At 37.6% G+C, this 26,237-nt stretch overlaps 1 protein-coding gene and 1 pseudogene across 4 annotated transcripts in view, besides 3 other annotated features; both read left to right on the plus strand.

Annotated features, from left to right (window-relative positions):
* The window catches only part of MAP3K1 (mitogen-activated protein kinase kinase kinase 1), an 80,604-nt gene that overhangs the window by 25,293 nt on the left and 29,074 nt on the right, over positions 1–26,237 (plus strand). For all 4 annotated transcript variants that reach the window (NM_005921.2, XM_047417218.1, XM_047417219.1 and 1 more), the window contains 5 exons: positions 15,759–15,909; positions 18,874–19,074; positions 23,893–24,093; positions 24,499–24,615; positions 24,988–25,136. In NM_005921.2, the coding sequence (NP_005912.1) occupies positions 15,759–15,909; positions 18,874–19,074; positions 23,893–24,093; positions 24,499–24,615; positions 24,988–25,136 (819 nt within the window). The remainder of the gene's footprint in view (positions 1–15,758; positions 15,910–18,873; positions 19,075–23,892; positions 24,094–24,498; positions 24,616–24,987; positions 25,137–26,237) is intronic.
* Positions 2,429–2,598: an enhancer, noted in NCBI's record as "experimental_86205 CRE fragment used in MPRA reporter constructs". NCBI's record gives its function as "activates a minimal promoter by MPRAs in K562 erythroleukemia cells, with activity observed for both the introgressed and non-introgressed 5:56139182 variant alleles {active_cell/tissue: K562}" and the evidence as "EXISTENCE:reporter gene assay evidence [ECO:0000049][PMID:34662402]".
* Positions 3,240–3,482: a silencer, noted in NCBI's record as "fragment chr5:56139908-56140150 (GRCh37/hg19 assembly coordinates)". NCBI's record gives its function as "represses an EF-1alpha promoter that drives an FKBP-Casp9 reporter gene in an ReSE screen in K562 erythroleukemia cells {active_cell/tissue: K562}" and the evidence as "EXISTENCE:reporter gene assay evidence [ECO:0000049][PMID:32094911]".
* Positions 10,200–10,379: a silencer, noted in NCBI's record as "fragment chr5:56146868-56147047 (GRCh37/hg19 assembly coordinates)". NCBI's record gives its function as "represses an EF-1alpha promoter that drives an FKBP-Casp9 reporter gene in an ReSE screen in HepG2 liver carcinoma cells {active_cell/tissue: HepG2}" and the evidence as "EXISTENCE:reporter gene assay evidence [ECO:0000049][PMID:32094911]".
* Positions 16,299–16,410, plus strand: LOC124901214 (uncharacterized; annotated as a pseudogene).

The raw sequence follows: 26,237 nt of genomic DNA on the forward strand, positions 1-26,237 counted from the left end.
TTAAATATGCAAATGCAAAATTGTTAAGGTTTTTTTTTTTTTTTTTTAAAGATGGAGTCTTGTTCTGTCTGTCACCCAGGCTGGAGTGCAGTGGCACGTTCTCAGCTCACTGTAACCTCCGCTTCCCGAGTTCAAGCGATTCTCCTGCCTCAGCCTCCTGAGTAGCTGGGATTACAGGCATGCACCACCACGCCCAGCTAATTTGTGTGTGTGTTTAGTAGAGATGGGGTTTTGCCATATTGGCTGGGCAAGGTGTTTCACACCTGTAATCCCAGCCCTTTGGGAGGCCAAGGCAGGCAGATCATCTGAGGTCAAAATTGTTAAGCCTTTTAAGGAAGAGAAATGTATGGCTTATTGATTTAAAAAAAAAAAAAACTAGACAGGTTAATATTTTTCATGTAAAACGATCTTAAAATCTTTGTGCTCTCTACTTTCTCGAATGTTCTGCTTGACAGTTGTCTGAACTTTCTGAGAGCTTTGATAGAGTCTTATACATAATACGTGCCTCTCTTAGTAATAAAGTTTGAATTGCTATGATAGTGAATATTGGAGGAGTCTAAAAGTTCGTAACAGTATGTCACCCATACTGATATACTGCCTGAGTTAGTACAAGGGGTCTGCAGATCCACTTAGCTACCACGTAGATGGTGATGATACCTTAAGAAAGGATTTTCACATTCAAAAACATGGAGAGCCACTGGATTATAGAATGACAAAGAATATTTTACTCAAAAAAATTTTGGGAAGTACTCTCCAGATTTAACGATTAAAAGGAATTTGTGGTCCTATTGAGCTTTCTATCTTCTGATGGTGTCTATCTGCCTGACAGGAATAATATTGATGTGGCAGTGGCGATAAATGAATTGTATGTTCACACTGAATGACCCTAAGCTATCATCTTGTAGTCTGATGTGATTTCATAGGTTCTTAAGTTCCAAAAAGGTTGTGAATTTCTTAAGAGCATGTCATGGCTAATGGCACAGTCAGGACTTGATTATGAATTTCCAGACCCCTGAATCCTGTCATTTTCCTTTAGTTCCGTGAAGCTTCCCACAGTGTGGAGTAGTAGTTCAGTGGTGCATGTTTATTTTTAAGGAAATATTTCAAGCATACAGAAAGATACAGATGGAATACATTAGATAATAGTATAATAAACAGCCAGAAAACCTTCACCTGTATTTAATAAATGTTAATATTTTATTGTACTTGCTGCAGTGCAGTTGGATGTGTATTTTTTAAAGGAACTAATATTAAACAGTTGAAGCCTCCTTTGTCTTCTGGCTAGAGCTTCTTCTCTCCCTCAATACCAGCAGAAGCAGCCTTGTACAGCAGTCTTCATATTCTAGATGTTGCTAGTCAACATTGTTACCTTCTGAAACCAGAAAAAAAGTTTTATTTTGCTACTGTCATCTGTTTTTCAAATAACTTGTTAAAAGAAGTTATAATAACAGCATAGTGGAGGAGGACAGGACTTTAAAGTCGTAGAGAGCTGGTTTTGAAACTCAGAATTGTCACTGACTATGGAGAGTTAATCAAACTACTTAATCTTTCTGCAGGTTTCTTCATCTGCCCAATGAAGATGAGGACTCTTACCTTGTAGCTTTGGTGAGATGTAAAGCCACTGTATGGACAATACCTAGAGTAGTACTTAGAACAGAGGAGGCACTGCAGAGGCTAGCTTTAATAGTAGTAGTAGTGATAGTAGTAATTCAGTTTATTGTGGGCTACCATGCACTTGGTGCCATTGCAAGTACTTCATCCATGTTCATTTAAAAAGTGAGGTAAGAATTAACTATATGTAAAAGACTTAGAACAAGGTGTGGCGGGTAGTAGGTGGGTCATAAGTATTAGCTATTATTATTATCCCCATTTATAGGAGAATAATGGGAGGAACTCTAAGAAGTTAACTTTCTTCTAAGTACTTTACATATATATTAATTTATTTAATCCTGGTCGCTACTTTATATGGTAGATACTATTATCCCCATTTTATAGTGAGGAAATTGAGGCACAAAGAAGCACTTCTACCAAGATTGCACAGGTAGTGTCAGAGCTTATATCTTAACCCAGGCAGTCTCGCTCCAGAACTCATGCCCCTGATCGCTGTGCCATACTTCTTCTGTATGTGGTATGGCTTCTTACCTTATCTATCCAGTCCTAGGAACATATCTTTCAGGTGGTATGATCTCTATTGACTAAGAAGTCCTTCCTGGTTTTGTTGTAGATGCAACACGTTTCCTCATGTGACCCCAGCCTGTTAAAATGGGGTCATTTTGATAGAAGCTACCTGGATTTGATTCGTTTGGGTGGCTGTTGCTCCATAAGTACCTTTAACAGTCTCTTCACCCCCCACCCACCAGTTCTTCCTGAAGTCCCCAGTGTGGGTCTTACATGTGCTGAATTTGGCCAGTGACCCAGTAGCCGTCTCTGGTCAGCACTGCTTTCTGGCCATTGCCATCACCTCCTTCAGCCACATTGGCCTCGCCCCCTCGGACCTGCTTCACCCACCAGTCCTGCCAGTAACACCACCATCAGTGCTGAAGATGCACAATGTTCCCACTGTGCAGAGTTCCAGGGTCTTTACAATGAAATGAGAACCATTCCCCAGGCCCATTTATTTTATTTTGTATTCTGGGACTTACTTGTAACCATATAGAGACCTTTAGAGAAAATAAATTACCAAGGTTTTTTGGTTTGGTTTGGTTTGGTTTCTCATGGCTTTTTTGCTTTCACCCCAGACCTAAGAGCTTGGCAGAGAATGAGTGGACTGGACCAGGGGCAAATCTTTGTGACAGACTCTGGCCTCTGCTAGTGGTTGGATTGGGCCAGGCTTGAATTTCTGATGCCCCCTTCTCTTAGGGTGGGTTCATACAACGAGACTACCCATCTCGCTGGCTGTCTAAATAATCTTTTCTCCCCATATTCATTTTGAATTATTGGAGCCTTAATTGCACTACAGACATGCTAAATTTTGTGATAGCTTAAGTAGTATTAAGACATTAAGATTCCTGGTGTTAGTTTTTTCTCTGCAATTTTCTTAGAAATATTGACTTACTGGAGCCAGAGGGTCTGTAGAGATGAGCCAGTACAGGTTTCTTAGAGTATGTTCCAAGGAACACTGCGCTATCAAAGATGCTCTGCATAAAAGGACTTCCATGGCAAGTGAATGTGAGGAATGCTACATACCTTCTTTTTCCCCTTGGAGATTAATGACACATGTAGGTCTTATTAGAGGCTCTGTGCTGTCCTGTGATAAATAAAGCCAACTAACTTGTTTTTATCAAGTGTTCCCTGATTTGCAGAATCATTAGATGTTTAGTATTATAGGATTGTTTTTTTTGGTTTTTTTTTTTTTTTTTTTTTTTTGAGACAGAGTCTCGCTCTGTCGCCCAGGCTGGAGGGATCTCAGCTCACTGCAAGCTCCGCCTCCTGGGTTCATGCCATTCTCCAGCCTCAGCCTCCCGAGTAGCTGGGACTACAGGTGCCCGCCACCATGCCCGGCTATTTTTTTGTATTTTTAGTAGAGACGGGGTTTCACCGTGTTAGCCAGGATGGTCTCGATCTCCTGACCTCGTGATCCGCCCGCCTTGGCCTCCCAAAGTGCTGGGATTACAGGTGTGAGCCACCGTGCCCGGCCTAGGATATTATTTTGCCAAAGCTATGTCTTCTGTTTGGAACATCTTTTGGCCTTCACCAACTCTCTCTTCCAGTTCTGTTCTTTAAAATTATTCAGGCATCACCTCCTCTGTGGATCTTTTCAGGACTCTCCTAGATAAAATTAAGGATGGAGATCACTCCACCTTCGCAACTGTTTATGGGATGTTAAATACTTTTATTACAGCAGAGTTGACATTGTGTTTTCTTGCTTCTGTGAGACAGAATGATTGGAGGAACACAGACCCTGTTTTATTTATCTTTCGTTTTTTAATTTTTCTTCTTTGCTGCCTGGCCAGTGCTTATCTGTGGTAGGTGTGCCAGCATTCATTGAACGGAGTGGTTTGCTAGCATTCAAAGCATAAAGAAGAAAAGCTGCATTTGTCAGGAAGTCATTCTTCCTCATTCTGAGCATCCCAGTTAACATGCCTTTTTACCAGGTGGAAGGAAATAGTATAGTACTAGCTGTTCTGTAGAATTTTGAAAGAAATCCTTCTCCTAGCAAAGACTGTAAGAGGGCTTTGTATGCTAATTCGGGGTTATCCCCTCTTCTCCTTTAATCTCAGAGCATTAAAAACAGTTAAGGGCTTTTTTAAAATAGAAGGTATTCACTCAAAATATTACATATCTATAACTTCTTAAAATACAGAAGCTTTAAATTTTGTTAGTGGGGTAAGAATTATAGTAAGTTGTATTATGCCATAACCTACATATACTAACAGACCACTTTCGTAAGTATGTACTAGCCCTGTTGAGTTGACCACTTAGAAGTATACTCAAACTGCACTGCCACATTTCCCCAAAGGTAACAAGTAAACATAGGAGAAAACATACACTGCAGCCTTCATGTAACACTGACTTGGGATCTTTTTAATGAACACCCAAATGGTGAAGGAACAGAGGTTTTCATTTCACTGTGCCATGCATTCTGTACCAGTGCCCCCAGATAAGGGCAGGATGCATGGCCTTGCTGAGAACACCCCTCCCCCCACAGTAGTAGTGTAGGAAGTTCCAACCTACTTCTCTAGTGTAACGTCTCTCTAGGTTTATGCATCAGTTGTCTTGTAGACATTCCCAGCCCTAGATTTGTCAAGTAGCAAGGGGGGATTCTTAAAAGGAAAAACACGTTTAGCCAAAAACTGTTTTGTTTTGTTTTTAAAAACATCCTTCTTACTTACTGATCTGTGTTCAACAATTAGGGAAGAGGATACTCACAATGTTTCATTTTTCCCCAAAGGTTTCTAAAGGTTTTTCCTCAAGTACCAAGGACACAACAAAGGAAAGAATAAACAGTGGAATTTTTAGCGCAGAATGTCAAAAGAATACAAGGTTTTATGGGTTTTTGTTGGAAAGGAACAAGTGGGAAATGGGACCATATTAATTTTAAACTCCCTCTGTTGGGTGCTCAGAACATAGTTTACCTTAAGCCTGATGGATGTTCTGAGTTTCTCCCCGCAGGGAGATAGGTGAAAGAGTCCTAGTATTTAGAAGTACTGTTACAAAGCTGATTACTCTGATGAGTGATATAAGTGTTTTAAAGCAATATTTAGTCTAAGTAGTAAATATTCCTAAGACAGACAGTAACTTTACAATTCATTTGTTTTGTTGTCTTAAATGGCAGAACAATGTTGTTTTTCTGTCACTAACGTTTTTATATGTTTTCTAAGATGATGAATCATACAGAATCACCAAACTCATATTTCTGTTCAGGTCTGACCATTTTTACAATTTTCATTTGCCTATGTAAATATTACCCACATATTATAGTTCATAATTTGTGATATGTCAGCAGATTTCATTGAACTTGAGTCTTAGGTCACAATAGAACTAACAACATATTGGCTTCATTCTAGTCCAATTTGTTTTCTTTTATGCCTACACACCAAGGGTGTTCGCTTGAAAACAAGTCTTCCTTCACCTCCTGCTTTTTCTCCTCACCTGCTCTTTAAAAAATAATTGTACCTGACTCAAATTGATAGTCTTCTAGGATTTTCATTCGCTAACTCAAATTGCTAGTCTTCTAGAGTTTTCATTTGCTACCAAGTTAACTTGCTTACTAACTTGATTTGTCTTATCTCTTTTAGATTTATTTAAAATCCCTACCAATTTTAAGAGTCACTGCATATTCTTGATTACTTCTGCATGGCTATATCTCCATGTCCCCCTCTCCGAATTCTGATGTGTATTTGACTTGTTTGGATTATATTTCCTCCTGGCAAGTTTTGACTTCGTTGCAGTTTGACGTTTTCTTGACCTGTCAGTGCTCATGATTGTTTCCGTGGCTTAACAAAGTGTACATATTTAGTTTCATTATTGTATAAATTTGTTGATTTTTCTGTTCATCTATTAACACATTTAGAAGAAAGAACTTTTCTTTTTCCAAATTTGAACAGAACATCTCAATTCTATTAGTGATGTGCTTAGTAATGTGTATTGGATTGATTTATTGTGGTACATTAATAACTTGAATGTGGTAGTTTTTAATGGAATCTGCCAGCTACATTTCTGAGAGACATGAGTGTGCCAAAGAAACACCATAACCAAGCTTTTACACTACTGCCTTATTTTCTTTCTGGAACTAGGCAGGTGTAAAGAGATGATTTAGAAAACCTTTTTGCATTTTATCTTTTTCTTAGTGTTTATCTGGGTTTCAGCTGCAAGGAATATAGCCCCTTTCGTTTGATGATGTTTATCCATATTTAAACATGGCCACCTGAAAGTTTAGCCTTAGTGTTTTATCTTAAATATGTCAGTGACTTTGGAGACTGTTGAAGTACATCCATAATGTTTGTATGTTAGTTTAAAAGTAAAAAAGACTTGGTCGGGCGTGGTGGCTCATGCCTGTAATCCCAGTACTTCGGGAGGCCGAAGTGGGTGGATCACTTGAGGTCAGGAGTTTGAGACCAGCCTGGCCAACATGGTGAAACCCCATCTCTACTAAAAATACAAAAATTAGCTGGGCGTTGTGTTGGGCGTCTGTAATCCCAGCTACTAGGGAGGCGAGGCTGCAGAATTGCTTGAACCTGGGAGGTGGAGGCTGCAGTGAGCTGAGATCCTGCCACTGTACTCCAGCCTGGGTGACAGAGTAACACTGGATCTCAACAAAAAAAGTAACACTTTTCCTGCAAGGCAGTTTTCTCAAATTCATATTTGAATATTCTTATGACTATTTGTGGTCAAGAAAGATGCCTTTTAATCATAAAATAATCTTGAATAGAGTTTTTAAAAAATGTACTTCATGCAAGAAGACAAATGAGAATCTTTTCCTTCACTTAATAATGTATTCTCTGCTCATAATAATGCCCTGGTCTACAGTTGTCAGTATTTTATGCAGACGTTATTTTATATGTTCCAGTGGTGTCTGAAATTTATAGCACACTGAGTTTGAGTTACCAGTAATAATTTACTTAGAAATCCCTTCAAGTTTATTCAGTATTCAATAGAGGATCAGTTGCTTTAAATATATTCATACATTTTGAGCATGTAAGAACATTTAGTATAGGAGAACTGTACAGTTAATATACATTTTTCTTTTTGATTCACTTTTCTTCTCTAAAGGGAGATTTGGGCATGTACTTTATAGACTGAGTCAAAGGTAATTGACTGCAAAAAAAAAATTGATACAGAGTTGCCACTTTTAAGAATGATTTGATACTGACTAGTAGCTCTCTGTCTTTTGTAAATTCCCTCTTATTATAGTTAGTTGCCTGATGATTGTTACAAATTTACTAATTTGGAAGTAATAAAAACTTTCGAATATTCTTCCTTTTCTCATTGAAGTTCTTTACCTTTTCTCTTTGAAGTTACTTACATATCCCTAGAGGCACTAGTTTATGGTAGAAGTTGTTAAGGGCTATGTTTGTCCATCATGAATGATGGTGTAACATCTGCATGGTGTTACTTCTTAGATCTTTGTTGATTAGAAGTGATAATCAGCTACTCTGACTCTGAATCAGGGAGTGTTTATCAAGCCCATGACATCTGTTGTTCTGGGTGCTTTGTTCCTAGCTGCAGGACAAGGAAAAGGCCCTGCCCTCAAAGAATTTACCCTTTCCTTGTCTAGTTCAGCCAGTGATTGTGTGTTTACAGTATGATTATCTATTAATACATTGTCTTATTTTAATTTTGGTTAATTTTATATATATTTTATGTTTCTATACTGTGTTCTGGTTTTCAAAATCCTGTAATTGTGCTGGAGAATACTTTTAATTTTAAAACTCAAATGGAGTGGTGTTTTGATGGAAACTAATCCATGATTTAGGGTAAATGGAGTTATTGTGCATGACCATGTGGAATATGTTATCAATATGAGTCAATCAGAATCACTAAGGTGGTATTAAACTGCTTATATGTCTTGTTTATAATTAGTTGTGTTATTGTCTTTGTTACTTGACTTCCATATTACTTAACTGTTGATGTGGTTAATCAGAACATGAGCTTTTTGAGGGTGAATTCTATGCCCATATCTCTCAAAGGCCTAAATAGGAATGTTTGCACACAATACTTAAAATAGTTTTTCCACTAATAAAGATTTCTGATACAGATTCAACATACTATAAAACTGATTTCAACCGGGTGCAGTGGCTCATGCCTGTAATTCTAGCACTTTGGGAGGCCAGGGCGGGCAGAGTGCTTTGAGCTCAGGAGTTCAAGGCCAGCCCGGACAACATGGAGAAACCCCATCTGTACAAAAAGTACAAAAAAATGAGTCAGGTATGGTGGCTTGTGCCTGTGGTCCCAGCTACTCGGGAGGCTGACGCTGGAGGATTGCTTGAATTGGGAAGTGGAGGTTGCAGTGAGCCAAGATTGCGCCACTGCACTCCAGCCTGGGCGTCAGAGCCAAACCCTCTCTGTCTTTAAAAAAAAAAAAAAAAAGAATCAATCCTTTGTTGTGCTAAAGAGAGGATATTTACCCTATGGGGGGATAAAAGTAGTAGTGCCTGTTTCTTGTTATAAATAAATAGCAGTTGTGCCGTCTTTAGTCCTCAGGGTCAAACTTTACTGAATAAAATCTGGAATAAAATCTTGTGGGAACTAATTTTCAGAATGTGAGCCATTTTTATACATTGTTACTTCTTATGTAAACCTACCTATGTTATAAATGTTGTATCATATAAAGATGGAAGATTCGCCCTTCCAATGGTTTATTTAATCTTCCTTGCTTAGAAGGAATAGGCCAACAGTTGGCAAAGACAGTATGTCTCTGGAGAAACTATCTTACTGGAAAATAGAATTGTCCTAGTATTGAGATAAAGATGGTTTGGTTTTGGTTTTGGTTTTGTTTGCAGATGCCTCAGATCTAGGTCAACAGATTAAAAGTACTTGTAAATATTCATTTTCCTTTTGTTCTTGGAAGACACAGACTGTGAAATCACTCTCATCTGAGTGTAAGTCATAGTGTTTTTTACATATAGACTTTATCACCTTGAACATGTAACTGAACCTCCCATATCCTTTGTCTCATCTGTAAAATGGAGTAGTAAGAGCCGCGTCTCAAGAGAATTGACTGAGTAACCCATGTGACTGTTAGCCCTATCCTTGGGAAGGAATTGTCAGCCTTTCTGTTTCATTATGCTCTCCCTATCCTCAGTTTAAGTCATTCCTGCTCTTGTCCTTTACCTGGAACCTTACACTTTAAGTGTCCCACAATGGACTAGGATTGTTTTGGAAGGTCGTTCCTCCCTTGCTGTCCTCTTCCTCAGTAATATGGCTTATGAGTTTGGTAGTGTGTGAATTTCTTCTGCTAGGAAGGCTTCACAGGTGGACCTTAATTAGTTAGCTCTGAATTGTGCCTATCCCAAATAATGTATTTTCTAGGGTTCCTTGAAGTTCCTTGGACACCAAGAGAATCAAGATACGGAAATCTTAATTTATACCTAAGGTTAAATCTCATTAATTTCCAGAAAGGTTTTCTACGATCGTTATAGTCTTAGTTGCCTCTATTGCAGTGAAATGCTCTAATAATGAAGAGAATTAATATGCTTCTTTAATTATTATAATTAATCAAATCGTCACTGTTGTAAAAACTTACAAAACTTGTTTGGATTATTATCAAATAGGTATCAGCACAGGTGCTGACTTCTTGTAAAAACAAACTTAGACTGGGCAGTGAACACTCATAGCAGCAGAGAGTACAGCTCTTGAATCAAACCTGTGGGGGTTTGAATCTGGCCCTGCCACTCACTTACAAACTGTGTTACCCTGGGCATAACCCAGCCTCCCCAAGCCTCCGATGGAAAAGACCTCACAGGGTTGCTGGAAGGGTGCAGTAAATTCATACATGTAAAGCACCTAATCCATTGTCTGGCATGTAATATAATTTTTCTGTGATGACACTCTGGCAGTTATTTCTCCATATCGCTGGTTGTTGACAAACATAATATTTCCTTCCTAAGGATGAGCCATTTAATAAATAACTTAAAAATTACAGTAGACTGGTAGGATTCTTTTTGTTTGTTTATTTTTTTGGACATGGAGTTTTGCTCTTGTTGCCCAGGCTGGAGTGCAATGGCGCAATCTCAGCTCACCGCAACCTCAGCCTCCTGGGTTCAAGTGATTCTCCTGCCTCAACTTCCCTACTAGCTGGGATTACAGGCATGCGCCACTATGCCCGGCTAATTTTGTATTTTTAGTAGAGATGGGGTTTCTCCATGTTGGTCAGGCTGGTCTCGAACTCCCAACCTCAGTTGATCTGCCTGCCTCGGCCTCTCAAAGTGCTGGGATTACAGGCATGAGCCACCGTGCCCGGCCAGGATTCTATTTTTGAGTGTTTATGAAATGTCCCCTGTGTGCCAGGCATTGTGCAGAACTAGTGTTTTAGTCAGACTATTTGAGGTTGCAGGGAACAGAGATGGGTTAAAATTTATTTCATTCCAAATTAAAGAATCCACCAAGAAGTTTCCTCCATTGCAGCATGTACACTTGGCCCGTGGAGAACTAGTCATTCATTATCCAGGGGTGGTATAAAAGTGGCTGTCATCATCTAACAGCTTATCAGGGGACCCGTGTACAACTTGTTAGGTTGACTTTTGTTGCTTCTGCATCCCTGTCTTTCTTCTAATTTCTCTCTCTTCTCCCTTATTTCTGTCTCAGTGTTTCTACTTATTACCTTGCTCTGTTTCCGTGTTAAGTGCCACTCTTCCTGCAGTAACACTATTTGTGTGTTTTACTTTCAAACTCTCAGGGAGAGAGCTGACTCAGGCGTACAATACCGTTCAGTACAGAAGGTCATTGGACCAAGGAACATTCCTGGACCAGGCAGCTGTGGAAGCTGGGATGGATTCAGATGTATAAAGCACCTTAAGCATTAGCCACCACCCTTAGGACTGGGCAGACCCTTCGCTTCCCAGAAAGGGGCAGTATGTCAGGTCACTGGGCAGTGTGATAGAACAATGAATAAGAGGGAACTTGTCCTGGAAGAGCTCACAATGTGGAGAGGGAAGCAGATACTTAAACATATACTTAATTTTATGATATATTGTAGTTAATATTTACCATGCAGCGGGAGAGCAGCTAACTGCCGTAGAATGGTGGTAGGAAATTCTTCATTGAAGCCATATTGAGATGGCAAAGGGTATTCCTGGCAGGGAAAAAAAAAAAAAAGTCATCTGCAGAGACGGGAGTAAAATATCATGGTATATTTATGAAGTTTTTTTGTGCTATGAGAAGAGGGCCATAGTTGGTATTTAAGGGGCTCCAGGAAGAAGGTCTAATTTATGGTACTGATGAAGATGATTAGACATAGAACCAGGAGAAAAAGACCTCATAGAAGAGTAGAGGAGAGACCTACAAGAGAGTTAGCACAATCAACAGTGGCTGACACCACATTATAAGGGGAGGACTGACTACAGTTTCCCTGAGAAGGGACCCTTGAAGCATCTTGGTTTTTAACAGGTGAGTTTTGTAGGTCTAGGAAGAGTCTAGCACTAGAAACCTAACCTCAGGGAGTAAGCGTTCTTGAAGTTCTGTGTCAGGTCACAAATTCATTCTTAGGAATGTCTAGAAACCAAAACCAAGAAACCTCATGTTTCCTAAATAAACAGGAAATGAAGATAAAGCTTGATCTGTAATAGTGCTTAAGTTTCTCTTATTTTTCTGACCACAATTTTATTTATTTTTAAGTCTTCAAGGTAGTTTCTCAAAACACATTGTTTAGCTGAAATCTGTTATTTTTTTAAGGTCAAAAGTGTATACACTATTATTTAAAATAGGTATGTTTCTGGGTAATGTTTGGCAAAAATAACTCCCCGAAACATTCACGTTTAACCAACATGAGTTGGAGATGGCTCTCATCTCCCAGTGACTTCACAGCTATCTGTTTAGATTAGCTTTGGTTAAAAAAAGATTTTTTTCCTGCTATGGCTGTGATATCTTAATTGGATGATAAATCACTGCTATATACATACATACATACACACACACACTCATCTAGTAAAAATGAAAACCCTATATATGCCTGGCTTATGGAAGATTATATGTTAGGATTATAACAAAAACAATACAAGTATGTAAAAAAATTTTTCACAGTTTGGTTCTGTTTCAGAGAGAAATTAAACAGAGTAGATGTGATTTATTCGTGGCAAATACAATAGGATTTACTATATATTTCATTGATTCAAAGATCCCAGTGGTTGTAAGTTGTACCATTATTTTATATACTATGAAGGAAATAACACCTGCCAGTTAAATTATAATAACTTTTGATTGCAAGAGGCATTCATATTTCAGATATTAAAATGTGAAAAAATACACATTTTAAAATTAATGACATGTAATTATTACAAAGAGACTAGGAAAAACACTTTGGTTTATATTTGCAGATTAATTTAGGAACAGTGAAAATTGTTCTGAACAACATCTAAATTGCAAATTTAGTCTTAATTAAATACAGAATTATAAAAAAAGTTAATAAGAATAGTCATTAAAATTTAAAACTGGGAAGGCTGTAGGACTGCCAGAGTTAATAAGTGATCATTCACTTAATATATGTTCATACTTATTATGAGCCAGACATGCTTAGATGTTAGGTGTATAGATGGCGATAACACGTGGTCCCCTCACTCATGGAGCTTACAGTTCATAAGAGAGGAACAGTTTGCAAACTGCATTAACCATGTTAAAGGAAAAATACAAGTGCTGTGAAAGAATGGAACTGGGAGTTCTTAATTGAAATTGGGAAAGTCTCTGAGGAGTTGAGGAAAATCTAGAGAGTGGGTAGAAATTAGGTAAAAAGTAGACAGAGAAGGAAGCAGCCTGTCCAGAAGCCCTGAGTAGGAAAGATCTTGGGGTTATTGAGGCAGTGAAGAAGGGGGGTTGCAGGTCTGATGACAGGAATTGAGGTGAGACCACGAGGTGCAGGGCCACTTAGGTTGGGCTAAACATTTTGGATTTTAGTCTAAGCCCGGGGGGAACCACTAGAGCATTTTAATGGAGGAAGTAACCCTGGCTGCACTGTGAAATCTGGGTAAGATTCAAAGTTAAAGAAGCCTCGTTAGGAGCCTGTTGCTAGTTCAGAGCAGGTTTAAGAGCAGCTTGACCTGGATGGGCGTGTGAATGGAAGACATATTTTTTAGAAGATTATTTGACAATATTATCAAAAGTCTTCATTTGTGTACATTTTTAACCCAGCATTTCCATTTCTAGGTGTTTATTCTAAAGAAATAATTTAGGCCAAATGTGGTGTAATCCCAGCACTTTGGGAGGCCGAGGTGGGTGGATCACCTGAGGTCAGGAGTTCGAGACCAGCCTGACCAACATGGTGAAACCTCATCTCTACTAAAAACACAAAATTAGCCAGGCGTGGTGGCACATGCCTGTAATACTAGCTACTTGGAAGGCTGAGGCAGGAGAATCACTTGAACCTGGGAGGCGGAGGTTGCCAGTGAGCCTATTGCACCATTGCACTCCAGTCTGGGCAACAAGAGCTAAACTCCATCTCAAAAAAAAAAAAAAAAAAGAAAGAAAAAAGAAAAAAATAATCTCATAGTCCTTAAACATAAATAAGGTAAAACGAAATTTAAAAAAGAATCTCAGATGTGTGTAAAAGTTCAGCTACTAGAATGCTCATCCCTATTATTTATGATAAAAGAAATTGGTCTAAAAGATGACAGTATTTTCAAACAAGTGGAAAGGAAAGAGACACATTAGACTTTAAGGAGGCCATGCCATCCAGAAAGATTTGTTTAGACAAGGAACATCCTTTGTGTGTTTGACTCAGGGCCAGGAACAGAAACTGAAAATCCATAGCAGAGAAGAGATACTCCTGAAACAGATTTGGGGGAAGAGAGATAGCTAGGACCAGAGGAAAGACTATCAAGCACCTTGGTCTAGGAGTGCAGGAGTTTCTGGTATAAAAATGCACTGCAGTTCCACTGTGAGGCTTATTTTTTGGAACTAGCCTGGGAACCAAACCACCTCTTGCAACATTGTTACTGGAGGGGGAAAGCGCTTTTAATACTAAAGACTTGGAAGTGAATTTTTATTATGCAGTCACCACATAAATTCAGTTGCCTACAAAGCTGAGCCTCCTGGAATACCAACTGAGCAGGATGGACTTTTTTGGAAGACACTTTATCCCCTGTGTTCTTCACCCCTACCTCTCTTTCTCTGCCTTCCTCTCCCTCCTCCTTTTTCTCCTCCTCCTTTCTTCTCTGCCTTCTTCCCTTCTCTCCATCCCCCCTTCCTCTTTCCTTCTTTCTCCTCCCTCCCTCTCTTACTTTCTTCTACACATCCCCTAATATTTATATTTTATAATCAGCATAAAAAGCAGCCAAGCACATATAAGTAAATTAGATAATCCTCCTTTTTTCATACTTTTTGAAAGTCTCATATTGCTTCTATATAACAGTATTTGTGTGTGTATGTGTGTGTAAGGAAATATTTTACGCTGTGGTCTTAATGCCTATTTGCAAGTTTCAAACCAAATGTTATGTATTCTTTGTATTTCTAAAAATGTCTAGGCCAGTTGCTGATACAAAGATGTTTAATATGTTGCCTTCTACTTTCCTCACAGTCTTGATGCTTCAGTGAAACGGGTTAACCGTTTCCTTTCTAGTGAATATTTTTTTTTAAGTAGTTTCTTCTTCCTTTGGCTGATTCTCTGAAGATCGTACTTCATAGTTGTGATTAGCTGGAAAATTCCTAGAGGAGTTTGAATTTGTCTTTGTAGTAAACTTGAGGTTCTTGTTTTTGGTATTTCCTTGAGTATTTCCTTTTCCTATCAGTGTAGAAAAACTGTTCTCTAGCTTTAAAGACTTTTCAAAATAGTTACTGAAATTAGCTTAGTATTTTTAAAGTTGTTACTAATCCCAAGGTGCAGTTGCTTTAACTGCATCCTTATAAATCAGGTTTTCAAATCTATGCATATCGTGTATGCATGTATGCTCATGTGGATATGGGTATATTTTAAAATTAGTGATTTTCGTGAGCTTGATGCTTTGCCTGTTAGGCTTTGTAGAGTTAATTCTCAAACGTTCTTAGTTTAGAGATTGTTTTATTCTGGTAAATCCACACCATTTTATGGAGTAAAGATCAAATGTTTGTACTGGATAATTTTTATTCTTTATAGAGTACCCCAAGTGCTTTGTTATGAAGTCACTGTTCTATGAAAATAAAAATTTAATCATGTAGGCTATGAAAAATTGTTTTGGGGTCATAGATGATGTAGTTAAGTTTCACTTCACTTATTAAATATTTATTGAGCTTATTTCAGATAAATCAGCATATCCACCAGATTCTATCTGTATTGACTTAATTTATTGGAAATCCTGGGATAAAAGTGTAGTAATACACCCTTCTAAATATTTGTTATTTGGGTGGTAGAATTAAAAACAATGCAGTCTTAGTGAATATATTTGTTAATATAGTGCTTAATGTCTTGGGATTCATTTTGTTAACTACAGTGGAACATAGGTCTGCATGATATATGTCAGTAGTATATAATTCAGAATCTTTTCAAGCTTTAAGTCATTTGGGGTTTTTAGCAGTTATCTTTTTTATTACATGTCCGTTGGAAGTATAAAATAGAACCATCCATTCTGTTTGTTCTTGGAAATTATTTTTCATATATACATTTCTCATTTTATTTGTTTCTGCCTGCATTTTAGTCGTGAGATGGAGAATAAAGAAACTCTCAAAGGGTTGCACAAGATGGATGATCGTCCAGAGGAACGAATGATCAGGGAGAAACTGAAGGCAACCTGTATGCCAGCCTGGAAGCACGAATGGTTGGAAAGGAGAAATAGGCGAGGGCCTGTGGTAAGTGGCTATGGGTTACCAGTTATAAGGAAGAAAGCATAGGAGGAAATGGAAAAGTAAGCATAAATAGATCCTCTTGTAAGCTTTTCTTCTTCATTTTAAATGTAGTAGTTTTCTTTACTTGATATTGTGGTCATTTGGAAGAAACCATAATTAAAACTGTGCTCATTAAACAACTTAAACTATTCTGGGAACTTAACTGTTGTGTTTGGTGGAGGGGTAAATGCTTAAACCAAGACTGCCCTCTCATGTCAGTATCTAAAATCCTTTCATTGGAGTTTTATACTGTACTTGTAAATTTTAAAAAGAATTTTTCCAGTTTATTTTAGATGTTTTATCTCTAAGACAGGATCCAAGGATCTTAATTTCAGAAATCTTCTAGGAAAGAAAACATTTAATTGCAGTAATTCATAAGTGTAATGATTGGGTTTTCACATGCATGCATAAGATGTGCGTTTCTCCAACTTTGTTACAGTGTCAGCATGTTATCCTCATTTGACATGAAAAAATGTTTAATAGACCTATGGGGATTAAGATAAATTAAAAATGTGTGGGGTTTGATGAAAGAAAATCTAGAGTCCTAGATTTTAAAAAGCAGGGATACTCTGTCCTTTGCTATAGGTATAAGAATATATATTCTTATAAGAATACCATCATGAAATGTGTGTCTTCATTCTTACAAAGGAAGAAGTATTACAGTATCCTAGCACTAATCTCTCTCAGCAAGTTTTTATTTTGTTCTTTTAAAACAGATATGGCAACTTAAAATTCATCTAAGCTTTGACAAGGGTCTAAATACACCCCTGCCAAGTGATTGTCTGCCCTACATTCATCCCATATGCCTATTTAAGTTTACATTTAAATTAATTAGATGTAAATAAAAGTAAAAATTTAGTTCCTCAGTCTCACCAACTACATTTCAAATGCTCAGTAACCACATGTGGCCAATGGCTACCTTTTAGGCAGTGCAGTTTTAGCACATTTTCACTGCCTCAGAAAGCTCTCTTAGATGTGTAGTACTGACTCGTGTCTGACTTAAATAACTCAATAATCCCTGTGGCTTTCGATATCCTCATCACTGAGCTGCAGTCTGTCAGGAATATTTTACCCACTGGTTCTCATTCTAACCGATGGAATTATACAGAATAAATCTAATTGTTCCTTTCCATACCAGCACTTGGTAAGTTATTATGGGCCCGTGAGTCCTTGTCTTTACAGCTAAGTTTCTACATTTCTTCCATTTATTACTCACGTGAGGTGGTATGGTGGGAACCCCTCACCATTTTAGCTATTCGTGCCAGAAGGTGAATATGAAGAAATTAAGGATTTATCTTAGAGAAGAGAAAGTGCTATTGAAACATCTTGTAGAATGTTGGCAGTTAAAAGGGCATATTACTACTCAATCAATATAAAGAACTTTTGAACAAGCAGAGCCATCTGAAGTTTGAATGTGCTGCTTTCTGAGCTCCTTTAGATGGAGGTGTTCAAACAGCCTAAATCTTTTGAGAATACCGTAGGGCATAAATCACAACTTTTTAAAAATGAGCCAGCTATTTGTTCTTTATTATACATGAACTAAGAATATCCAGTTCTCTAAAACAAAATTTTGGTTTTTATACTGTTCACTTTCTAGCAAGTACCAAAGTACCTTGTCTGTATATAAGACATGAGTGAAGAGGGAGGAGATGTGTGGAATAAGATGCATAACACATAGTCCTTAAGCTTAATTATGCCACCCTACATTTTATGATTTACGGATTTCGTATTATCCTTAGGAAGTTTACTGTTTACTTGGGAGGTCTGATTTTGTTTGTTTTTATACTTTAAGTAAGTTGTGTCAAATCATTCTTGAAACATAAAGGGTAAATATCTCCAAATGGGAAAATTAGACTTATACATAATAAATAGAGTAATACATGAAATATCACAAAGCAACTTGTGACTAGGTGCCAAATGTGTGGGATGGGCAGAAGAGCAATAGGGACTTAGGAAAGAGAAGGAATGTCTTGCTGGTAGACTTCAGGGAAGTTTCATAAAAGGAAGAATTTTAACTCAGCGTAGAAAGATGGGTAAATTTTCCTCATGTGAAGGTGTACTGCCTGGGGTGCTGCAGGCTGGAGATGAGTATTAAAATAGGAGGAGAGTGAGTGAAAGCACAGGAGGAGGAAGGGTCAGGCAAGTTTGGTGAACACAGCAACTGGCTATAGAACAGGAGCAGTGGGAGAAAGTCCAGAAAGGTCTGCTGAGCTTCAGTTGTACAAAGCTGTGGAGTTTGGCCTTTGGTCATGGCTAGATTAGGTCTGAAAGCCTTAATTAAAAAAAAAAAAAAAAAAAGGCAGGTCTTGTAAACTGCATTTCTGCTTGAGAAATTGATCTTTAAACTTCTAGTCTCTTTTGGTTTTCTGAGATACACATCTAACCTATTATTGTAATATAACATTGTAAAGAAACACACACACAAAGCAGGGAAAATGATTGCATAGTGATCAAACTATTTGAAATTATGCCCAGTGTTGTTTCAAGGTCCTACATTTTGTAAAAACAAATAAAAACGTACCTAGATCTTTGATCTAGTAGTTGAATAAGTTGACTGTAGAAGTTATGAGTGCTTATTTTTCACATTTGTTTAATCACCTTTGATTGTTGCTTTTGAGTGTTAAATGAGTTAGGGTATATAATAACAAATAATACCATTTCTACAGTTTTGTATGCATTACAAAATTGTAAGGGAGGAGGTTGCGTTTTAACTAGTGTTAAATCCTAAATGACTGAAATTTGTGCAGGTAAAAATAATCTTTTACATTAATAGCTTAAAGTAATAATAAAAGTTGATATATTGTCTGGTATACTGGTATAATATTTCATAACAAAAACTCATTAAGTGTATTTCCTAGTCTATGATATTTACATTTACTTACCTTTTATATTTTTAAGTAATCAAAATATTGGAATACTTTGATTCAGGTGGTAAAACCAATCCCAGTTAAAGGAGATGGATCTGAAATGAATCACTTAGCAGCTGAGTCTCCAGGAGAGGTCCAGGCAAGTGCGGCTTCACCAGCTTCCAAAGGCCGACGCAGTCCTTCTCCTGGCAACTCCCCATCAGGTCGCACAGTGAAATCAGAATCTCCAGGAGTAAGGAGAAAAAGAGTTTCCCCAGTGCCTGTAAGTTAATGTTACAACAAATATGTTAGTTTTTATAATTTTTAGCTTCATTTATAACAAAGAAAAGACTGGCCAGCCATCTGTTAGAACATCAGTTTTCAAAATATGATCTGCAGACCCCTGAGGATGGGGGGGGTGGTTCCTGAGACCCTTTCTGGGGTCTATTAGGTCAAAACTAATTTTGTGATAAAACTGGGATGTTGTTTGCCTCTTTCCCTGCATTGATATTTGCAGTGGTGGGTAAAGCTACTGGTGCCTTTTCCCAATTTAAGGCTACAACTGTAGAAACTATATTCATTATTGCTATGTATCAGCCATTAAAGAAAAAAATGCCAGTTACACTTGATAATGCCTTTGACAAGGAAATATAAATTAATTTTATTAAATCTTGACTCTTAGTAAATACGTGCCTTTGTAATATTGTGTGTGATGAAATGGGATGCATGCATAAAGCACTTCTACATACCAAAATCCAGTAGTTTCTAAAGGAGAAGTATTTGTGCGGTTGTTAGAGTTGCAAGCTGAACTAGTTATTTCTTTCATGGAACATGAAATGAGTGACCAACAAACTATGATTATTTAGATTTGGGTATTTGGAAGACATTTTTCTTAAGGTGAATTAAATGAGACTGTCACTTCAAGGAAAGCAACTTAAGGCTGGGAGCGGTGGCTCACATCTATAATCCCACCACTTTGGGAGGGCGAAGTGGGCGGATCACCTGAGGTCAGGAGTTCGAGACCAGCTTGGCCAACATGGTGAAACCTCATCTCTACTAAAAATACAGAAATTAGCCAGGCATGGTGGCAGATGCCTGTAATCCCAGCTACTCGGGGGGCTGAGGCAGGAGAATCGCTTGAACCCAGGAGGCAGAGGTTGCAGTGAGCCTAGATTACACCATTGCACTCCAGCCTGGGCGACAACAGCGAAACTCCATCTCAAAAAAAAAAGAAAAAAAGAAAAGCAACTTAAGTATTTTTTCACTAGTGTTAAAAGTTGAGATGTCGAAACAAAAATTAGAATTTTAGAAAGCTACTATCCACCACTATGAGCTTGACAGCCTCCCAGTGCTTAGACTTTTCTGATAAGATTGGTGATAACAAATGTGATTATTTTCATGCTGTATAATGAAATATGTGAACATTTGGAAGATCTGCGTAACTTAAGGAACCAATATTTTCCACGTGATCAGTGTATGATAATAACAAAATTATTCATAGGTAAAAGATACATTCAAAGTGTAAAATACACCATTTGGATTTTTAATGTGCCAGTAGGAAAAGTTTGTTGATGTGGTTTCAGATTCCACATTACAACTGCCTTTAAGAAACCATTTTTTGAGCTTTGGTATAGTACCAAAGAATATTCATCATTATTTGAACAGGCAGTGGCTCACACCTATAATCCTAGCACTTTGGGAGGCCAAGGTGGGCGGATCACTGGAGGTCAGGAGTTCAAGATCAGCCTGGCCAACGTGGTGAAACCCCGTCTCTACTAAAAATACAAAAATTAGCCAGGCGTGGTGGCAGGCACCTGTAATCCCAGCTACTTTGGAGGCTGAGGCAGAGAGAATGGCTTGAACCCGGGAGGCAGAGGTTGCAGTGAGCCGAGATCACGCCACTGCTCTCCAGCCTGGGCGACAGAGTGAGACTCCTAAAAAAAAAAAAAAAAAAAAAAGGGGCTATTAAAATACTCCTTCCTTTTACATCTACGTATCTGCATGAGGCCAAACTTTCTTTCATATACTTTAATCAAAACATCATATCACAGCAGATTGAATGCAGAAGCAGCTATGAGAATCTTAGCTGTCTTGTATATTAAGCTAAACATCAAAGAAATTTGCAAAAAGATAGGTGGTAAATTCATGTGAGAGAGAGACTTCTAGTAGTGGAAATGCATGTTAAGACTCACTTTCTAACTTTGAAGAACAAATGATTGAATGGAAAAATGGTTGAGATAGTGACCACAAGAGGAGTTTGGGTTTTTTTTTAAGATCTGGAGTTATTAAGGTACATAAATTCGTTAAAAAGTACATTTAAAGCAAAAACATTTTACAGTAAAACCTGATGCCCAACAGTAGTTGTTGGCTCTATGTTAAAATACCTTTAAATTAACTATTAATTTTTGTTAACTTAAAACAATAATCAGTTACTAGCTCACGAATCTGCAGATTGGGCAGGGCTCAGCAGGGGTGGCTTATCTCTGTTCCTTGTGACATTCTCTGAAGATGAAAGGTCCAAGACTGCTTCTTCACTCACATGCCTATTGCTTCAGCTGGGATACTGGAACACTTGGGGGGCTGTTGGCATCTCTTCCTCCTAGCACGAAGACTGGGTTGCAAAGAGTATTGTTTCGAGAGGCAAGTCTCAACATGCAGGCTCTTCTCAAGCCTCCACTTCATTGTGTTTGCTAATGCCTTATTGTCCAAAGCTAGTTGCATGCCCAAACCCAGAATTGATGTGATAGGGAACTACACAAGAATGTAAATACTGGGAGGTATGGTTCATGGGGGCCATCAAAATGAAAGTTTACAACAAGTATAAACAGAACTGTCTTCCTTCCCCACACCCCACCCCCAAAACCCACTTTGGGCATATATGCTAGACAAAGTTACCCCTCATTCTTTTTAACAGTTACATAGCCTTTCATTAGCTGGATAAATCATGGTTTATTTAATGAATGATATACTAATGAACATTTATAATCTTTTTAACCTTTTGTTACTGAAAACAGTGCTTCAAAAGTATTTTTATACGTATGTCATCTTGTACATCTGTGAGCATGTATCTGTGAACATATCCATAGGCTGGATACCTAGCAGGTCAAAATGACGTGTGCATGCATAATTGGCTTTTTTTGTTTGTTTTTACTTTTTAGTAACTGCTTTTTTAAAAATAATGGCTTTATTGATGTGTAATTCATCTACTGTACAATTCACCTGTTTAGATTGTACAATTCAGTGTTTTATAGTATATTCACAGGGTTGTGTAGCCATTATTACGGTCGGTTTTTAAACATCTTTATTACCCCAATAAGATATCCTAGACCTATTAGCAGTATTAAAGCAAAATAGGTAGTAGGTAGCCTGGGGTTGTTTCTACACCTGGAAATGAAACCAACCTTTAGCCAATCACAAACAGCCAGCCAGCCTATTTGTTATATAACTAGGGACTTTGCATAATGCCATGCCCAAGTAAGGCAAACACCTAGCTGTAGCCAATCAGCTGATTCCTTTGCTTTGCTTTGCTTTGTGTTCAGCCTGTAAAAGCTGGCTGTTCAAGGTGCTAGATCAGAGATCTCTGAACTTGCGGTTTTGAGTACCACTTGGTTCATGAATCATTCTTTGCTCAAATAAACTCTGTTAAATTTATTTTGTCTAAAGTTTTCCATTTAACAACAGTCTCTCCCAACCCTAGGCAACCACTAATCTATTTTCTCTATATATATAATTTGCCTATTCTGGACATTTCATATAAATGGGATCACTTAATAGGTGATCTTTTATGACTGGCTTCTTTCACTTAGTATCATATTTTCAAGGTTCATCCATGCTATAGCATGTGTTAGTACTCCATTTTTAATTGCAGAGCAATATTGTATGGATATACCACATTTTGTTTATCTATTAGTTGATGGACATTTGAGCTGCTCCTGTTTGGTGGCTATTATGAATAATGCTACTGTGAACATTTGTGTACAAGTTTTCAGGTGGACATATATTCTCATTTCTCTTGAGTTTATACCTAGGAATGGAATTGCTGGGTAATACGTTTAACATTTTGAGGAACTGCTATACTGTTTTCCAAACCAGCTGCACATTTTACATTCTGCCAGCACTATATGAGAATTCTAATTGCTTTGTGGTCTTGCCAACATTTATTACCCTTAACTATTTAATTAGGGATCCAAAAAACTGGAATTTCCACTGGACATTGATGGAAAGACCAAGTTCTAGGAAAGTTAGTATAGTGAGAGTGTTATATATTATCCTCACCCTAGGAGCGTTTTTGTCAGCTTCCACTAATTTGTTTTTATTGAGGAAGAGTCTGCAGAGTGTATGTTGGGAGGCATTCCATGGCAGCGTTTGTAAATTTCCTGTTAAAGAAGATTAATAAAGCCTTCAATAGATCCCAGGAAGTTGGATTTTTAGTTTTTACTACTAGACACAGCATTCTGCCTGCTTATGATATATACTTTCTATGCTTTTTGTTTTGGTTTATATTAGATGTTTCAAAGAACTCAAATGTTAATAGAATAATTTATAAAATTACCACATGGTTGTCTCTCTCAGCCAGATATTTATCAACATTTATGGGGATGACTGAGATTTTAAAAGTTCACCTGAGATGAGTATGTCAGACAAAATCATTTAGCCTTTGTTCCATAATATTTTAAATCTGACATTTTTTCAGACTATAATCTGCCACATGACTGTCTTGTATGATCTTCTTTGGATAATAGTTTCTTTTTTTTTTTTTTTTTGAGATGGAGCCTCGCTCTGTTGCCCAGGCTGGAGTGCAGTGGCACAATCTCGGCTTACTGCAACCTCCATCCCAGGTTCAAGTGATTCTCCTGCCTCAGCCTCAGAGTAGCTGGGATTACAGGCATGTGCCATCACACCCAGCTGATTTTTTGTATTTTTAGTAGAGATGGGTTTCACCATGTTAACCCGGATGGTCTGGATCTCCTGACCTCATGATCCGCCCTCCTCGGCCTCCCAAAGTGCTGGGATTACAGGCGTGAGCCACCATGCCTGACCGGATAATAGTTTCTTAATTAAGAAATGAGAAACGTACCTAATAAAAAAAAATGTTGTGAAGTTTCAGAGTGGCAGAATCACACCACCCCGAAGAGCCCCTTCACCAGATGGCTTCTCACCATATAGCCCTGAGGAAACAAACCGCCGTGTTAACAAAGTGATGCGGGCCAGACTGTACTTACTGCAGCAGATAGGGCCTAACTCTTTCCTGATTGGAGGAGACAGCCCAGACAATAAATACCGGGTGTTTATTGGGCCTCAGGTAGGATTCGTCACCATTTTATACTTTATTAGTAGTAGTATATGGTACTACCTCAAATTTATATACTATAATGTTCTTAAATTTAGATCAATTAATTCCCTATAGTAAACAAAGTTAAACTTAAAATGTATTTTAGGCTAATATTTTTCTTTAATGTATTTATGAGGTTTTACTATCTTAATATACCATAGAATAGAAATTTGATCTATTTAATAAATTCAGTGAAAATGAAAGATTAAATCATGGAAATAGCTGTAGATTTTTCTTATATACAAAGATAATGAAGAATATGAATTAATAGAAACTTTAGTATAAAAAGTTGGAAATATTGTAAAAGTGATAAATTTAGAAGTTCTTGTGAACCACAGATGTATTAACCTATAGGTTTTCTTTTTAACTCTTTAGAACTGCAGCTGTGCACGTGGAACATTCTGTATTCATCTGCTATTTGTGATGCTCCGGGTGTTTCAACTAGAACCTTCAGACCCAATGTTATGGAGAAAAACTTTAAAGAATTTTGAGGTAGTTTTTAATAAATGCTTAGAGTAAAATTGTTAGCATATTCTTAGGATATATTCTTAAAATTTATCCTTCACTAAATTTAGGCAGTGACCATTTTAAAGGTGTGAAGGTATGTAAGAATTAGTTGATGCTTATAAATAGTTCTCATGAGATATTTACTAAACTTTTTCTTCTAGCTTGAAAAAAACAAACACTGACCTGCTGTAAGAATGTTGTCCTTAGTAAAAACTATAATGTGTTCTTATTTTTGAAGCTCTTAAATCAACTTTATGAAAAACATGCAAATTAAAGATAAATAATTCAGCCTCTAGAACTCTTCATATGTATAATTATGGCACAAATATCATTGTTACTGTCTTTTTCCAATGTTAGGTTGAGAGTTTGTTCCAGAAATATCACAGTAGGCGTAGCTCAAGGATCAAAGCTCCATCTCGTAACACCATCCAGAAGTTTGTTTCACGCATGTCAAATTCTCATACATTGTCATCATCTAGTACTTCTACGTCTAGTTCAGAAAACAGGTTAGTACTTTTTAAGGATTTCAAACATTAATCCAGTGTTACTTTTAATTTTAGGGGTAATTTTTTATATCTACTTGTTAAGTTGCTCTAAAATGATTTAATTATTGAATCTTGGCTTTCAAGTTAAAATCAAGGGTGAAGATACTAAAAGTTCGCTGGGCATGGTGGCTCGTGCCTGTAATCCCAGCACCTTGGGAGACTAAGGCAGAAGGATTGCTTGAGCCCAGGAGTTCAAGACCAGCCTGGGCAACATAGGGATACCCCAACTCTACAGAAGTAAAATAATTAGCTGGGAGTGGTGATACCTGTAGTCCCAGTTACTCGAGAGGCCAAGGCAGGAGGATCGCTTGAACCCAGGAGTTCAAGTCTCCAGTGACCTATGATCGCACCACTGCCTAGGTGACAGAACAAGACCCTGTCTCTTAAAAAATATGTGGGTGTGTGTATGTATGTATGTCTGTATGTATGTATGTATGTTAAAGGTCATGTGAGTGTGTGTGTGTATATAGACGTTTTGTGCTAAAAACTACAGCATTCATGTGAATCTTCTTTCTGTTCTGTATATTGCTTTATTGGTTTTAGTGTAAAAATTAGATTTTTAAAAATTAATCCACAAAGGAGTGCTGCTTCTCTTACCAGGGCACCTTCTATGTTATTCCCGAAGTGCCCAGTTTGAGAAGCATTGTTCTGAGTGGTTAAATCCTGTCTTCATCCTATTAATCTGTTAAGTATTGTAACTACCTCAAAATTCATGAAGAATGAAAAAGTGACAGGGTCGTAACAAGGGTGCAGTGAAGAGAAGAGAGGTTTTCTTCATCTGTGGAAAAAGTAAATGTTTGAAGAATTTTCTTAATTTTGATTAAATGAAATAATTTTAGAATCCTAGAGTTTTACGAGTTTTTAGACATTGAAGATTTTCTAGTTGGCATGTCTCAGTGACACAGCGATAAGTGAAGCCAAGAGGTTATGCAGCTCATTTGAGGAAAGGTATAGCCAGAACCTGGGTATCTTTGTTTTACCCCTCATCTCTTCTAAATAAAATGAAAAAAATGAGCTTTATTTCTCCAGCCTCCTGAACTCCTAGCCCCAAGCATTCCTCCC

This window comes from Homo sapiens, chromosome 5 (genome assembly GCF_000001405.40).
Source record: "Homo sapiens chromosome 5, GRCh38.p14 Primary Assembly".
Classification (NCBI taxonomy): Eukaryota; Metazoa; Chordata; class Mammalia; order Primates; family Hominidae; genus Homo; species Homo sapiens.